General features: G+C 42.5%; 1 protein-coding gene across 14 annotated transcripts in view, besides 1 other annotated feature; it reads right to left on the bottom strand.

The window, feature by feature from the left end:
* Positions 445-739: a silencer, noted in NCBI's record as "tiled region #11139; HepG2 Repressive DNase matched - State 9:DNaseU". NCBI's record gives its function as "represses a minimal TATA promoter and a strong SV40 promoter by Sharpr-MPRA in HepG2 cells {active_cell/tissue: HepG2}" and the evidence as "EXISTENCE:reporter gene assay evidence [ECO:0000049][PMID:27701403]".
* The window catches only part of SMAP2 (small ArfGAP2), a 78493-nt gene continuing 73556 nt past the window's right edge, over positions 12370-17306 (bottom strand). For 11 of the 14 annotated variants that reach the window (XM_047428009.1, XM_047428011.1, XM_047428017.1 and 8 more), the window contains one exon: positions 12370-13720. In XM_047428009.1, the coding sequence (XP_047283965.1) occupies positions 13595-13720 (126 nt within the window). In that variant the 3' untranslated portion in view covers positions 12370-13594. The remainder of the gene's footprint in view (positions 13721-17306) is intronic. The other 3 variants (NM_022733.3, NM_001198978.2, NM_001198979.2) reach the window with 1 other exon arrangement.

Genomic DNA, 17306 nt, shown 5'->3' with positions numbered 1-17306 from the left:
ACTCGAAGGCAAAGAGCTGGAATAATCTGAAAGCTTACTCATTACCATCTTGGCCTTACTAGAGCTGTTGGCCAGAACACCCACACATGACCTCTCCATGTGGTCTGGGCTCTCTTAGAATCTGGTGGCTGGGTTCAAAGGCAAGAGTCAGGCTGGGCGCGATGGCTCACACTATAATTCCAGCACTTTGGGAGGCCGAGGTGAGTGGATCACCTGAGGTCAGGAGTTTGAGACCAGCCTGGTGAAACCTCATCTCTGCTAAAAAAAAAAAAAAAAAAAAAAAAAATCAGCTGGGTGTGGTGGCAGGCGCCTGTAATTCCAGCTACTTAGGAGGCTGAGGCAGGAGAATGGCTTGAACCCGGGAAGCAGAGGTTGCAGTGAGCTGAGATTGTGCCATTGCACTTCAGCCTGGGCGACAAGAGTGGAACTCTGTCTCAGAAAAAAAAAAAAAAAGGCAAGAGTCCTGGGCCAGAGAGGCAGGAAGAAGCCATACTGCCCTTTTATAGCCTAGCCTCAGAAGTCATGCAGTGTCATAGTTGCTGCATTCTATTGACCAAGGCAGTTACAAAGGTCCACTCATGCTCAAGGGGAGAGAAAATAGACTCCACGTTTCAGTGGAAGAATGCCAATGTCACATCATGAGTATGAAGGATGGGACATATATTGATGTGGCCATCTATGGAAAATACCATATACCACAGTGAGACAACCAAAGCCTCCATAGACTAAATTATGGCATAGATCCAAGAGCTGACATATTCCCCAGATGGGATGGAAATCACACTGCTTTTCTACCAAGTGGAAGCAAACTGCTTCTGATATTTTTATCAGGATAGACTGTTCCCCACCCAAACTGTCATGTTAATAGCTGTATATCAGGTGTCCCACACTATCCTGATTTGATTCAATAGGAAATGACTTCTGTAACAGCAATGGCAATGGGTATCTTCTCTTCATGAAGTTAAGGATAATTTACTGTTATTCTCCCAAACCCACCCATCTTCTGCACCAGCTAGACTGACAAGTTAAAAGGCCATGGGATAGCAATCACCACTATCTGTGAAGTCTTTTAATCCCTGCAATTCCCCTAGAGATACAGTACCAGATCCATTTATTGTTTTGATGTGGAAGAGCTCCAGGAGCTTCCTCATCTCCATTGCTTTCTTTTTTTTTTTTTTTTCTTTCTATCAACTATAGAAGACTCAATGAATCCGTTCCTTTCTTAACAGGCTTTACTTCACAGGTGAGCAAGCCAGTGTGGGGATTCTATCACGTGCTAAGAACATCTTTTCCAACTGATGCTCTGGAACTTGGGGAACTATGTTAGGAGAGGTTTAAGTTTCCACTGGACCAATGGTGCGGCTGACTTAGGTAAAAACTCCATCATGGCCAGGTGCAGAGGCTAATACCTGTAATCCCAGCACTTTGGGAGGCCAAGGCAGGTGGGTCACCTAAGGTCAGGGGTTCGAGACCAACCTGACCAACATGGCAAAACCTGGTCTCTACTAAAACTACAAAAATTAGCCAGGCGTGGTGGCGCACACTTGTAATCCTAGCTACTGGGGAGGTTGAGGCAGGAGAATCACTTGAACCTGGGAGGCAGAGACTGCAGTGAGCCAAGAATGCACCACTGCACTCTAGCTTGGGCGATGGTGCGAGACTCCGTCTCAAAACAAACAAACAGACGGATAAAACAAAACAAAACTCCATCATTACCTGGTCCCCATATGAACTCTGAGAAGTGGACAATGACATTGTGGGTATCTGGGAATTAGTAATAACTAACAGCTAGTATCCACTTGTTGCCCAAGTGTTTGTGTAGTTTCCCTAGTGTACAGTTATCCAGACAAAATGGTAATACACATTTATCCATAAAATGGTAATGATACACATTCTGTACTGGCAGCACTTTTACAAGCTCCTTCCTCAGGATACATGGCCTCTCCATTATTGAATAGGCTCTGAATCTGTAAACTAGCTTAAGTCTAGCAAGAGAATCCAGAGCTGCATTTCTGTCTTGATATCTGCCTCCAAACCTGGAGAAATTTTTGGCTATACAGATCAAGTAGGGCTTCAGTGATCTGCCATTTATCTAGGACCCTATCTCCAATTAACCACCTGCAAAGATCTTGGTATCCATTTTGAATACCATAAATTGCATGGGGGGTCATCGTTAAAGGCTACTGCTGGAATCATTACAATTACACTGAAAATAGGAAATACGTGGGCATGGGCATGTAGTCCCACACCTGTAGTCCCAGCTACTTGGGAGACTGAGGCAGGAGGATCCCTTAAGCCTCAGGAGTTTGAGGGTGCAGTGAGTTACTGCACTTCAGTCTGGGTGACAGACTGAGACAGAGTGAGACTCTGTCTCAAAAAAAAAGAGACAAGGAAATACACTTCACCAACATTTTATGAACTACTAAGTCATGTTGTAATGCTCCCAGTACTCTTGTGAATAAAGTATGCTTCAAGACTTTGGTAAAGGGAATGTCTTCAGGATCCTGCCAGGCAGGGATGGGTTGGGAAAAGGGATAACATATTTGGTAATTTGTTCCAGAATTCTTCTTAAATTCCTTTCTCCACATTACACAAAGGCATTTCTGTCATCTCAGCTTTTAGAATAGATAGGCCAATATTATGTTCAGCTTTCCCTATGAAAAACATGCCCAGCTGCTAAACATAGGACATGAAATCCAAAATCTGTGGTAGGTGCATTCGTATCAATAAATACAGCCAGACCTTAAATGACACCTTTCTCTTCTCGATTGAACACTCAGTATTTTCATAAGAATTCCTCATGTTTTTTCTGATGACTGCATAAGTCTCCTCCTCTGTGTGCTTCCTGTTTGCTTCCTAGTGTGATATGATGTACCCAAAATAAACTGATACATTCTTGAGAAAAATATTTAACTTCAACCTAATCAAGTTTCTAGACCTAACTTCCAGCTTCTAGGAAGATTAAAAACATAGAACTGTCTACCAACTAATTGGCTTGAGCCCTTCAAAAAGTCATTCTCACGAGAAAAAAAAAAAAAGTGAGAGGCACTGTTCCAAACTAAAGGAAACCAAATAGACATAATAACCAAATGCAATGCATAAAGCTAGACTGTATCTTGGTTTAAAAAGAAAAGCATCAAAAGACTTTCTTGGGATAAATGGCAAAATTGAAAATGGACAGATTTTAGGTGATATAAAATTTAAGGGTGCAGGCTGGGTGCGGTGGCTCATGCCTGTAATCCCAGCACTTTGGAAGGCTGAGGTGGGTGGATTGCTTGAGGTCAGGAGTTTGAGACCAGCCTGGCCAACATGGTGAAACCTGGTCTCTACTAAAAATACAAAAATTAGCCAGGCGTGGTGGCGGAAGCCTGTAGTACCAGCTACTCAGGAGGCTGAGGCAGGAGAATTGCTTGAACCCGGGAGGCAGAGGTTGTAAGAACTGAGATTGCCCCACTGCACTTCCAGCCTGGGCCACAGAGCAAGACTCTGTCTCAAAAAAAAAAAAAAAATGTTTTTTAATCTTCCTAGAAGCTGGAAGTTACATCTAGAAACTTGATTAGGTTGAGGTTAAATATTTTTGTTAAGAATGTCTCAGTTTATTTTGGGTATAACATATCACACTAGGAAGCAAAGAGGAAGCACACAGAGGAGGAGACTTACACAGTCATCGAAAAAAACATGAGGAATTCTTAGGAAAATATTGAGTGTTCAATCAAGAAGGGAAAGATGTCATTTAAGGTCTGGTGGTATTTACTGATATGAATGCACCTACCACAGATTTTGGATTTAATGTCCTATGTTTAGCCACCGCGCCTGGCAAACTGTAGTTTGATCATTCCCATTGCTGTGTAGTATTCTATTGTAGGAATATACTATAATCTATGCATTTTCCTGCTGATGGGCATTTGGATTGTTTCCAGTTTGGAGCTATTATGAATGCTTCCAGAACATTCTTGTGCATATCTTTTAATGCTCAAGTACATATATTTCCATTTGGTATATACCTATGAGTAGAATTGTTGGGTCATAGGTTTGTCTATCTAGCAAATGATACTATTAAACCATTCTCCAAGTAGTCATGTCAATTTACACTCCTACTAGTTTCTGTTGCTCCACATTCTTGTCAACACTTAGAATGATCTTTTATTTTAGCCATTCTGGTAGGTATTTCATGATGTCTCCTGTTTTGTTTTGTTTTGTTTTGTTTTGTTTTAATTTCCCCAACTACTAATGAGATTCAGCATTTCTTCAATGTTAGTCATTCTTCAAAGTTAGTCTTCATAGTTAGTCTGCTTGAAGTGCTTATTCTGGTCTCCGTTGCATATTTTTCTAATATGTCTTTTTCTTATTTTGCTGGCATTCTTCATATATTCTGGATACAATGCCTTTATCATATGCATTTCAAATATCTTATCTTACTCTGTGGCAAGCCTTTCTGCTCTCTTAATGGAATCATAAATAGTTCTTAATTTTAATCTAATCAACTTTATCAATCTTTCCTTTATGATTAGTGCTTTTTAACTCCTAAGGCTTCTCCACATGGACATGAAGATATTCTCTACTATTATCTTTTAGGAGCTTAATTTTTTTAAGTTTCACACTAGATCTTCAATCTATGTAGAATTTATTTATTTATGTATTTTATTGATTTATTGAGATGGAGTCTCGCTGTCTTGCCCAGGCTGGAGTGCAGTGGCATGATCTCAGCTCACTGCAACCTCTGCTTCCTGGGTACAAACGATCCTTTTGCCTCAGCTTCCTGAGTAGCCAGGATAACAGGCACGTGCTACCACGCCTGGCTAATTTTTGTATTTTTAGTAGAGACATGGTTTCACCATGTTGGCCAGGCTGGTCTCTAATTCCTGGCTTCAAGTGATCCACCTTCCTTGGACTCCCAGAGTGCTGCGATTACAGGCGTGAGCCACTGTGCCCGGCCTAGAATTCATTTACTGTTATGGTATGAGGTAGGGGTCAACTTTCACTTTTTCTCTAACGTCCCAGTGTCCGTTCTTTAAAAGACTACCCTTAATCCACTGCATTGCATTGCCACCTTCATAAATCAATATGTGCCTGGGGCTGTTTCCAGCTCCTGTGTTCTATTCCAGCGGTTTATATGTCTATCCTGCACTGATTCCACACTGTCTTAATTACTGTAGTTGCATAAGAAATCTTAAAATCTGGTAGTGTAATCCCTTCAAATTTATTTATTTATTTATTTATTTATTTATTTTGAGATGGAGTTTCACTCTTGTTGCCCAGGCTGGAGTGCAATGGCAACATCTTGGCTCACCACAACCTCCATCTCCCAGGTTCAAGCCATTCTCCTGCCTCAGCCTCCCGAGTAGCTGGGATTACAGGCATGTGCCACCACGCCCAGCTAATTTTGTATTTTTAGTAGAGATGGGGTTTCTCCATGTTGGTCAGCCTGGTCTTGAACTCCTGACCTCAGGTGAACCACCCGCCTCAGCCTCCCAAAGTGCTGGGATTACAGGTGTGAGCCACCATGCCTGGCCCAAATTTTTTCTTTCTTTTTCCAAGATTGTCATGGCTAGTCTGGGTCCTTTGTATTTCCATATACGTTTTGTAATCAGCTTTTTTTCTTTTTTTTTTTTTTTTTTGAGACAGAGTCTTGTTCTGTTGCCCAGGCTGGAGTGCAGTGGCACTATCTCAGCTCACTGCAACCTCCGCCTCCCGGGTTCACGCAATTCTCCTGCCTCAGGCGCCTGAGTAGCTGGGATTACATGCACACACCACCACACCCGGCTAATTTTTTGTATTTTTGGTAGAGACAGGGTTTCAGTATGTTGGCCAGACTGGTCTCGAACTCCTGACCTCGTGATCTGCCTGCCTTGGCCTCCCAAAGTGCTGGGATTACAGATGTGAGCCACTGCACCCAGCAAGGAATCAGCTTTTCAATTTCCACACACACATACGAACATACACACACACACACACACGAACATACACACACACACACACACACACACACAAATTGGTGGAGAATTTTCACACACTGATGATGGATTCTTTTTCCATGAAGTTCTATAAATTTGTACTTTGAGGCTTTAAGAATGTATACTGGTTTAGAATGGTAATATTTTCCTTGTGAAATGAACCTTTTATTATAACATATAGTTCTGTCCTCTTTCTATTACAGGGTGAGTACCCCTTATCCAAAATGCTTGGAACCAGAGTGTTTCAGATTTTGGATTTTTTCACATTTAGGAATATTTATATAAACATAATGAGATATCTTGGGAACAGGACCCAAGTCTAAATATAAAATTCATTTATTTCATATACACCCTATACTAATAGACTGAAGGTAATTTTATACAATGTTTTAAATAATTTTGTGCATGAAACAAAGTTTTGATTGTGACCCCATCACATGAGGTCAGTTGTGGTATTTTTCACTTGTGGTGTCGTGTCAGTGCTGATATTTTGAGCATTTCGGATTTTGCATTTTCAGGCTAAGATGCTCAACCTGTAATGCTTTTTGTCTGAAAGTCTATTTTGAAAATATAAATATAAATGATATAAAGGATCCCCATTTACTTTTGGTTAGCATTTGCCTGATCTTCCTTGTTCCATTCTTATATTTTAAACATTTCCTATTCTTGTATTTTTAGTACTTCAGGAATGACTCAAAGAGACCTTCACTAAAGAAACTTCCAAAGGATATACTTCAGGTGAAGGAAAGTGATCTTAAAGAAAAGTCTGAGATGCCAGAAGGAATGGATTTTATTCTATTCTATTTTATTTTATTTTATTTGAGATAGGGTCTCACTCTGTCACTCAGGTCGGAATGCAGTGGGGAGATCTTGGCTCACTGCAGCCTCGACCTCTGGGCTCAAGCAATCCTCCCACCTTAGCCTCCCAAGGAGCTGGGACCACAGGCACATGCTACCACACTCAGCTAATTTTCTGTAGAGAACAGTTTTCGCCACGATGCCCAGGCTGGTCTCAAACTCCTAAGACTCAAGTGATCGGCCTGCCTCAGCCCCCCCAAAGTGCTGGGATTACAGATGTGAACCACTGCACCCTGCTAGGAATGGATTTTGTTTCATTTTATTTTATTATTGTATTTTATTTGGAGACAGAGTCTCACTCTGTCACCCAGGCTGGAGTGCAGTGGCGAGATCTTGGCTCACTGCAACCTCTGCTTCCCAGGTTCAAGTGATTCTCCTGCCTCAGCCTCCCGAGTAACTGGGACTACAGGCACACGCCACCCCGTCCAGCTAATTTTTGTGTTTTTTTATGAGACAGAGTCTCAAAAAAATTTTTGTGTCTCAAAAAAAAAAAAAAAGTAAAAAGAAAAGCCGATTCCAAAATGTGTATGGAAATACAAAGGACCTAGACTAGCCATGACAATCTTGGAAACCCAACAGGGTTTCACCATGTTGGCCAGCATGGTCTGGATCTCTCGACCTCATGATCTGCCTGCCTCTGCCTCCCAAAGTGCTGGGATTACAGGTTTGAGCCACCGTGCCCAGCCTTCTTTTTTTCACCAGGCCGGAGTGCAGTGGGGTGATATCAGCTCACTGCAACCTCCGCCTCCCAGGTTCAAGCGATTCTCCTGCCTCAGCATCCTGAGTAGCTGGGACTACAGGAGCGCACCATCGCGCCCAGCTAATTTTCATAATTTTTGTAGAGATGGGGTTTCACCATGTTGGACATAGCCAGGATGTTCTCAATCTCTTGACCTTGTGATCTGCCTGCCTCGGCCTCCCAAAGTGCTGGGATTACAGACCCGACCTTTTTTATGTGTTTACATTTATTTATTTATTTATGAAGTAGTTTCGCTCTTGTTGCCCAGGCTGGAGTGCAATGGCGTGATCTTGGCTCACTGCAACCTCCGTCTCCCGGGTTCCAGCAATTCTCCTGTCTCAGCCTCCCGAGTAGCTGGGACTACAGGTACCTGCCACCACACCTGGCTAATTTTTGTATTTTTAGTAGAGACGGGGTTTCACCATCTTGGCCAGGATGATCTCAAACCTCTGACTTCATGATCCACCCGCCTCGGTCTCCCAAAATGCTGGGATTACAGGCGTGACCACCACACACGGCAATCTGACAATGTCAGTAATCCAACTCTATTTATTCCATCTACATTGTATTTTTTGTATTTAGACTTGTTTCAATCATATGACTTTTCAGTTAAGTTTGGTCCACTTTTCTGAGCTTTTTTTTTTTTAAAACAAATAAATTCTTAACCCTGCCTTTTTCTTGGGGGATAGGAGGATGGTTGATATTTTTGCTTATTTGCATTTTCTTATTCTAATTTTTTCCTCTTTATTGATTTGGAATTTACATACTCTATTTCTATTCTTTTTTTTTTTTAATTTTTATTTATTTATTTATTTTTTGAGACGGAGTCTCGCTGTCTCCCAGGCTGGAGTGCAGTGGTGTGATCTCGGCTCACTGCAAGCTCCGCCTCCTGGGTTCACGCCATTCTCCTGCCTCAGCCTCCCGAATAGCTAGAACTGCAGGTGCCCGGCTAATTTTTTGTATTCTTAGTAGAGACGTGTTTCACCGTGTTAGCCAGGATCTTCTCGATCTCCTGACCTCATGATCTGCCCGCCTCGGCCTCCCAAAGTGCTGGGATTACAGGAGTGAGCCACCGCGCCCGGCTCTATTTCTATTCTTAAGGGTAACCCTTAAATCTTACCAGGTATATTTAATTTTACAGAGCCTGTTTCTCTACTTTACAACTGCTTCAATTCACCCTTCAACTCGCTATAATCTGGTTTCTGGCGCTACCACTCCAACTGAAGTTTACAGTTTCCAAATGCTAAATTCAGTAGTCCTTTTACCAATCCTTATCTCACTAGATTTTCCTGCTGATTTGATGTTTGCGATCATCCCTTTTTCTAGATATTATAGTTCCTAGGGTTCCTTGACATTGTACTTTCCTAGAGTTTTGTTTTGTTTTGCATAACTTTCTGACTATTCCTCCTCATCCCCGTTCCATCTCCTCTCCTTCTTGGGCCTTTCCTCCTTAGCTTCTATTAAAAATAAATATTTCCCCACAAATTGTCCCAGCCCACTGCTGTTATTTTACAAACCCACCCTATGTGATTCCTATCCATCTCCTATGGTATCAATTACCACCCCATGGGCTAACTCACAAATTAATTTCTCCAGCCTGACCTCTTCCTTGAACTTCAGACTCTTAAATCCAATTTCCAGCTGGTCAACCAGACCTGGATATAACACAGGCAATCCAATTTCAACAAGCCTAAAACCAAACTCCTAATTATCTACTTCTTCCCTCCTAGAGAGAAAAGCCAGCTTCTCTTCCTTCTGTAAATTCTTTGACATAATCTAGAAACATGGGAGATTTGACTGCTTCCTCTCTCTCCATCCCACATCTTGTCCAATACTGACACCTCCCAACTCTACCTCCTAAAGCACCTTGTCTAGCCCTCGGCCCACAGTCCGCATTCGGCCCAGGATGGCTTTGAATGAGGACCAACACAAATTCGTAAAACATTATGAGGGCCAGGGGTGGTGGCTCACACCTGTAATCCTAGCACCTTGGGAGGCTGAAGTGGGCGGATTACCTGAGCTCAGGAGTTCAAGATCAGCCTGGGCAACACGGTGAAACCCCGTCTCTACTAAAATACAAAAGAAATTAGCTGGGTGTGGCGGCATGCACCTGTAGTCTCAGCTACTCGGGAGGCTGAGGCAGAATTGCTTGAACCCAGGAGGCAGAGGTTGCAGTGAGCCAAGAGCCAGCCTGGGTGACAGAGTGAGACTCCATCTCTACAAAACAGGCAAACAAAACAAACAACAAAAAAATTACGATTTTTTTTTTTTAGCTCATCAGATATCACATTTTATCAGTATTTTATGTGTGGCCCAAGACAGTTCTTCTTCCAATGTGGCCCAGGGAAGCCAAAAGATAGGACACTCCTGTCCTAAAGTATTCTTCTGGTTGCTTTTCCCACAAATAGTATTCTATGGTTATTAGATATACCAGAAAAATTGACTCCGTGGTAAAATAAGTGTTGGTAAGTGCTAGAAAACTATGAAAAAAGTCTACTACAGGACTTTTCAAAGAGATTACTATGTAGATATTATATTCTAGATATGAGGTGATATAACAGTCTTTTCCATGCTTAGTTTAGCATTTCTGTGGAACACCTTTTAGCATCTCACATGCCTCATGATCAATCACTAACTGCTATTCTAAGCCCCTCCATTCTCCCCTACCCCTGCCACCACGGCCCTAGGTCAGCTCTTCCCATCTCTGGTTCCCTAGCTCTGGTCTTGCTTCCTCAAACGTGCTGTTCACAGTGATGCAAGAGTGAGCTACCTAAAACGCAAACCTACCAAGTCTCTCCACCACTCATACTTCAGGCTAAACTCCTTCATAGGGTGTGGAAAGGCCCCTGACCTGGTCCAGCTCCACCTCTCCCACAGCACACCACACTCCCATCATACCCTAGACATACGTTTGTGCCTCCCAAAATGTTCCATGCTCTTGTAGGTTTCTGTATCTTTATTCACATAACACTATTTGTCTGGAATATTCTTCTCCACACCAATTCACTGGTTAACTGTTACTTCTCCCTTTAAGGCTCAGCTCAAGTGCCACTCTCTTCAGGAAGTTTTCCTGACTGGGCTAAGTCCCCCCTCACCTCAGCTCCCATAATCCACCTGCATAGGAAATTACAGGCCGGACACAGTGGCTCATGCCTGTAATCCCAGCACTATGGGGGGACGATGTGGGAGGATCACTTGAGCCCAGGAGCTTGAGACCAGCTTAGGCAACATAGGGAGACCCTGTCTCTCCAAAAAAAATTAGCCCAGTGTGGTGGTGCACGCCTTTGGCCCCAGCTACTTGGGGAGGCTGAAGTTGGAGGATAGCTTAAGCCCAGGAGGTCAAGGCTGCAGTGAGCCATGATCACACCACTGCACTCCAGCTTGGGCGACAGAGCGAGACCCTGTCTCAAAAACAAAACGAAAAAAAGAAATTATAAATTTGCTGCCCCATGAGACCATGAGCTTCTTAAAAGCAGAAACTATCTCAGATTCATCTATTTATCCTTCCCAAACTCTAAATGCTGATGGGTTCCAAGACTCAGTTCTCTTCTATTTTCTCAAGTGACTTCAACCGGTCTCATAGCTTTACATAACACCCGTACCCTCATGATTCCCAAACTGATGCCCCCAAACTATTTCCAACTCTTTCCAGATCTCTACGGACTGGCTGCTTATTTAGGTCTCAGTCCAAATGTAACCTTCTCCTGACCACTCCATCCAAATGGCCCCGTGCCCACTCTCTCCCCTTGTCTTATACTGTCTGAATTAAATCTATTTGTTTATTATGCATTTCTCCTACCACACTATCCTATGAGATTGGACAGTTTTTATTCACTGCTTTGTCTCTAGAGCCTAAAACATTCTTTGGCACATTACTGACACTTATTAAATGTTTGTCAAATGAGCTACTGCCTAACACAGATCTGGCACGTAATACCTGCTAATATCTGAGTGCTTAGTAAGTGCCCAGTAGTGTGCTAAATATACCACAGGAACTGCTTCTTACTATCCTAAGTATTACCATTGTCCCCATTTTACCTGGACACAGGAGTTCAGTAATTTGCTCAGGTCCCAGCGTAGGAAGGGATAGGAACACTGGCAGCCTGACCCAGAGCCAACTTTCCTAGTCACTGTGCTGTCCTCCCACTTACATCTTTAAGGACTCAAAGGGTGTACTCAAAGGAAAGAAGGGAGGAAGGGTCCAAGGATCACATTTGTTGAGAGCAGAAAAGGAGTCAAAGGGAGCAGGAAATGCACTAAAGATGGTCTTCGGCCTTTTGTATTTCGTACTGCCCCCAGGATTGAGTGTCCTAATTCCTGACACTGATACGGAAGGTCCAGTTCTGATAGCTCAGAGAGGGGTGAGTTACCTTTACCAGCCAAAGCTACTGCTCTCTTGGCAGAGAGGAATTTCAACTCACTACTTAATTGCCATGGTATAGGGAAAGAACAAGGGGCTGGAAATCCAGACACTTGGAGGCTACTGCCGGTTCTGCCCAGGGTTCTCTAGTGGACATTTGCCAACCATGTCCTTTCTCCGTGTCTCAGTTTCTCCACCTGTGGGGGGAAAGCATGCCGCTCTGATGCTCTGTGACTCTAGAAGGTGCTGATCTCTGGAGTTCTCTCAGCTCACAGCTCTAGATGCCAGTGGAGAGAGGCCCCCTTTCTGACTGCTGGAGCCTGGGCCTCACCCTTGGGTATGAGAAGTACAGAATTTTCTAAAATACAGGAAGTGAAACAATTGCCTTTGGAAAACAGAAAACCTAAGTGTAACGCACCCTCCTCCAAGAGTGACGCACAGTAATGGCCAAGCAAACAGTCCTTCCCTGCAATATTTATTAAGGAATTTACACATACACAGGAGAAAGGCAGCCAGGAACTGTGGTTCCCACACATGAAATCTTTTAAGCAAAGTTTTCTTGTCTGAATTTTCAAGTGGGGTGAACAATGACTGAGAGGAAAGCTGTCCCGGCCCTCTGCCTCGTACACCTGGGAACGGTGGGGAAACAGAGCACCCTGGATACACAGGCATGAAAGAGTGATCAGCAGACCGGGAGAAGGGAAGGGAGAAAGGGAGTTATCAATGACATGGCGTTTTTTAAACCATAAGAAAAACACAACAGTTTTAGGCTGCTGATAAATTAATTCCTCTCTGTTGTAAACCTAAAACTAAACAAAAACAAAAATACCCAGAGCAGATGGGGAGAGGGTGGGAGGCGGAACACACACTCATACACACACACACACTCACGCACACACACAAGCAGTACACGTTAAGCTCTGCATTCCCACTATAGGGGTTGGTCCTCCAGCCACGGAGCCAGATCCTACTGAAGGCAGGGGGGAGGCGGGAAGGGATGTGTGTCTGTGTGTGGGATCTTCATAAAGTCTTTGGTGCTAATAAAGGCTGACTGAAGCAGCAAGTCCTGAAGCCCCAGATCCAGAAAGCAACTCAGGGCGAAGAGAGTAGTATTTTTGCTCATCCTCATAGGAGGGGGCTTGCCTCACCCCAGGGCTAGGGTCAAACTGACCCAGGACCCAGGGAGTATTTAATTTGATTTCAGTACTTGCTTCATTCCCATAAATCATGAGAACATGATGCTTTTCAAATTTAAACACTTAGAAACAGCTTATTAACACATATAGAAGGACCTCTAAGCTTTCCCCTGTTTGCCTAATATACAACACCCACAGACCCTTCTGAGAGTCTGACAGGAGCTTTAACCTTGAGGGAAGGGACTCAAAGGTGTGCACACTTCTCCCACAGTTTAAGTGCCTTCTGCCAACAACTTCTAAGGTGCTGGTGCCAGGAGAGGACTGGGGAGGACGTTGGGATGGCTATGGGGCATGTACAACATAAAGCAACAGAGAGGTCTTCATGTTTGGGAAGTGGCTGGGCAGGATGCCAAACCCCAAATGACTTATTGAGCAATTTCTAAACCAAACAGAGAGGTAGGAAAAGAGGATGGGGGTCAGGGGTGGAGGCTGTGGAAAGGGGAGAGCGAGGGCTGAAGAGAATGGCAGCCATACAGGTGTTTTGTTTTTATTTCCACATCTGAGGACTGAGAGTCTGATTTGCTGCCTGTCCATTTCCGCCACTCATTGACTGTCCATAGTTCATCATGCCATTGGCTCCATAGAAGTTCATCCCAGCCATCTGCTGGGTCATCTGAAAGGGAGAGAGGAGACTTTCAGACCAGGCTGTGGGCATTCCGCCAATTAGTGCAAAAGGCAGGGTGAGAGTCCCTTTCTCTGCCAGGATGGGGAGAATGAGACAAAGGGAAACTCTGTTATGGACAGTAAACCCTGGACCTTAGCAGTCAGATCATTTCAAGGCCACGTACGTGAATGACCTTTTGGGAGTGCAATGCTGACGGAGACTAAAGCTCAGGGAGGGAAAGAAGGCATCCTGGCATCTGGATCTAGTCGACAGAAAATCAGCATGAGTTCCTCTCTTTTTCCTTTCCAGTCCCTCATCCTAAATAGAAGGGGCCTATTGTTAACTTGCCTGGCCAATCCTAAAAGCTGAAAGGAAAGCCCCCTCCCCAGTGCTCCCGCCTCATCTTCAGCACAGCTATTACTGTCAGTGTCAGGGAAAGCGCTTGAGCAGGCTTGCTCGTTTGCACAAGGGGGAAAAAAAGGAACTGGACTGTTCAGAATGAACAAAGGCGGTGGCGGGGCGGGGGCGGGGGAAGACTAATGTGTCTTCAGTGTATAAGAAGGGAAGGAGCTGGGAGAAAACAGTCAGTGGAATAAGGCCTGGGGCAGGATGGGGCGGGGGTCCTTCATGAATCTGATGGAAAGACTGGCCCCTAGCAGTGAACAGAAAAATACTTTATGGAGAAAAATGCCTTGAATTTCCTAAGCCTAGTAAATTTTCTATATAAGTTATTTTTCTTTAGGAGAAACTATTATTTTCTTGTACCAACTTTTAAAGTAAATTTCAAACTGACATAAAAGTTGAAACAATAGTACAATAAAACCCATGTATCTTCTTCCTTAAATTCACCAACTGTTAACATTTGCCATATTTTCTCTCCCTCCCTATAAAAAAACTTACATTTTTTTGATGAGTATCAAAAGTTGCAGATTAAAAAAAAAAAAAAGCTGCAGCTATCACGACATTTCATTCCTAAGTCAGGAGGCACCTCATAAGAATGAACACTTTAACAGAACCACAAAACAATGAACACGCTCAAGAATTTTAACATTAACACCATATTCTAATGTACATGGCATTTCATTTTCAGATCTCTGTAGTCTCCTTTAAGCTAGACCAGTTTCCCTAACACTTCCTTCCATTTCTTCCTGACACTGACATTTTTAAGAACCCAGGACAGTTATTTTGTAGCATACCCCTCAATTTGGATTCATCTCATGTTTTCTCATAATTGGATCGAGGTTCAATATTTTTGGCAAGATTCTATGGAGGTGACACATGTCTTTCTTAGTACAAAATATCAGGAAGCATATGACATTACTTTGTTCCTCTGTCAGTAATTTTATGTTTGATCACTTGGCTGAGGTAGTGACTATATTTCTTTCATTATAATTAATAAATAATCTGAAGGGCATTTCTTTGCAAATGTGTCAATCCTTTGCTCTTTTTACAACTACTGTCATTCTTCTGTAAAGAAGGCTTTTCCTCCCTCCATTCCACACCTGGTTTTTAAAAAATATCACCGTGGACTCATGGTTTTGTTTTGTTTTTTCCATTCAGTGTGTCATAATCCATTACTGTTGTTACTCTTTTTGATGTTCAAATTGTCTCACATTTGGCCAGTCAGAGCCACTGGAAGTTGGCTCATGCGTCCCTCTGACATATTCCCATCAGACTTATAGCATTCCATTACTTATATAAATAAAAACGAAACAATGAAAATAAGTGAATTAAAATCTCCACTATGAAAGCTAGAAAATAACAAAGTAAACCCATAGAAAGCCTACGGAAATTGAGGTAGAAAACGGAAAAATGTAGCACCAATAAATCGAAATCCTGGTTCTTTGAAAAAAATTAATGAGACTGCTAGGCATAACTTTTGATAAATTTGAAAACCTTGGCGAAATGGAAAATCTAGGTAAATACAGTTTTCCAAAATTGACTTCCATAGAAGAAACAGAGAAAAGTATCAAAGATTTGCTACAAAAAAAGCAATAGTGCCCACAAACTTCACATGGGAATTCCACAAAACCTTCAAAGACCAGAGCTACATAAATTATTCTGGACCACAGAGAAACAAAAACATAAAAGTACTTCTTATAAATAAGTATAACCCTGATAAAGATAGCTATACATGCACATGTGCAGTACACATGCACCATACCACCTCTCTGGGGTTCCTTTGCCTGTCTCTTGGTTTTCACATTAAATCACTTTGTATTTCTTTGTACCTAGTGCAAAACTAGTGTTGCTTTGTTAGCCAATTTGAACATCATTTTCTTTTGATAGAAGAGTTGCCTACTGGTATGACTGGTATGTTTGGTCTCAACTCCATCATATTAGATTTTTACTGTGTTTATTGTATTTGCTGCACTTTGTAGTCTGTTTTTAAAAATTCTCAGCTGGGCGCAGTGGCTCATGCCTGTAATCCCAGCACTTTGGGAGGCCAAGGTGGGTGGATCACCTGAGGTCAGGAGTTTGAGACTAGCCTGGCCAACATGGTGAAACCCCGTCTCTACTAAAAAATACAAAAAAAATTAACCGGGTGTGGTGGCGGGTGCCTGTAATCCCAGCTACTCGGGAGGCTGACGCAGAAGAATCACTTGAACCCAGGAGGCGGAGGTTGCAGTGAGCCGAGATTGTGCCACTGCATTCCAGCCTGGGTGACAGAGTGAGACTTTGTCTCAAAAAAAAAAAAAAAAAAGAAAGGAAGAAAATTATCTTGGTATTCAGAACATTTCACGTGTTTGTTCTAGTGATTACCTTCATAGTAATACTTTTTAGCAATGTCCTTGGTCTCCTTTTTCCTTATTCAAGCTTCCGTGATTTGGTTTGTCAGCTTATTGCATCCTTCGATTTCTACTTCTTTCCCATACAATATTTATTATTCAACTTTTCTCCCTCCTCCTTCATTTTCAGTTGTATTTGTTTGTCAGAATATAATGTATATTCTGCAACGCTTGTCACCACCTTTGTTTTAGTCTTAGATTCTCAATTAAACATTCAATTCTCACCATCAGTTCTTTTGCCAAAAATGAAAATGACCCCAGTCATCTCTTAGGTGGATGAAGCTTATCTTCTGTTAGATTCCCCAGGAAAGTCTTGTAAGTGTGATATTCTCTGAGTTCTTGCATATTTATTTTTTACAGCCTTGATACCTGAAGGATAGCTTGGCTGGCTTGGTTGTAAAATACTTGTTGTGTCTTGCATACACTTGAGTGTCTTTAAAATACTACTCTCCTTGTTATTCTTTTTGTATTTTGCTGCTAGGAAGTCTGATGTCAACCTGGGTATTTTTTGTTTGTTCTAAGTAACAGATTTTTGTGGGTAGGAGGTATGGAAAAGGTTGGACCCCTAAACATTTTGAATGTTCTTTAAAGTCTGTAGATTTGCTGGGATATGTTTTAAAGTTGACTGTTCTGGGTCAATTTTCCCAGACACACAGTGGGCTCTTTCCATATTATATCCAAGTCTTTTATTTCTAGAATGTTTTCTGGTGTTAAACACATTAATACTGTCCCATATTTTATTTATTTTGTCTTTATTTCTTTGGGCATCTCCAAATATATGTAAGTTTTCTTTGCCTAACTTCCAT

Source organism: Homo sapiens, chromosome 1, assembly GCF_000001405.40.
Source record: "Homo sapiens chromosome 1, GRCh38.p14 Primary Assembly".
Lineage (NCBI taxonomy): Eukaryota > Metazoa > Chordata > Mammalia > Primates > Hominidae > Homo > Homo sapiens.
This window is presented reverse-complemented; position numbering and strand designations above follow the sequence as displayed.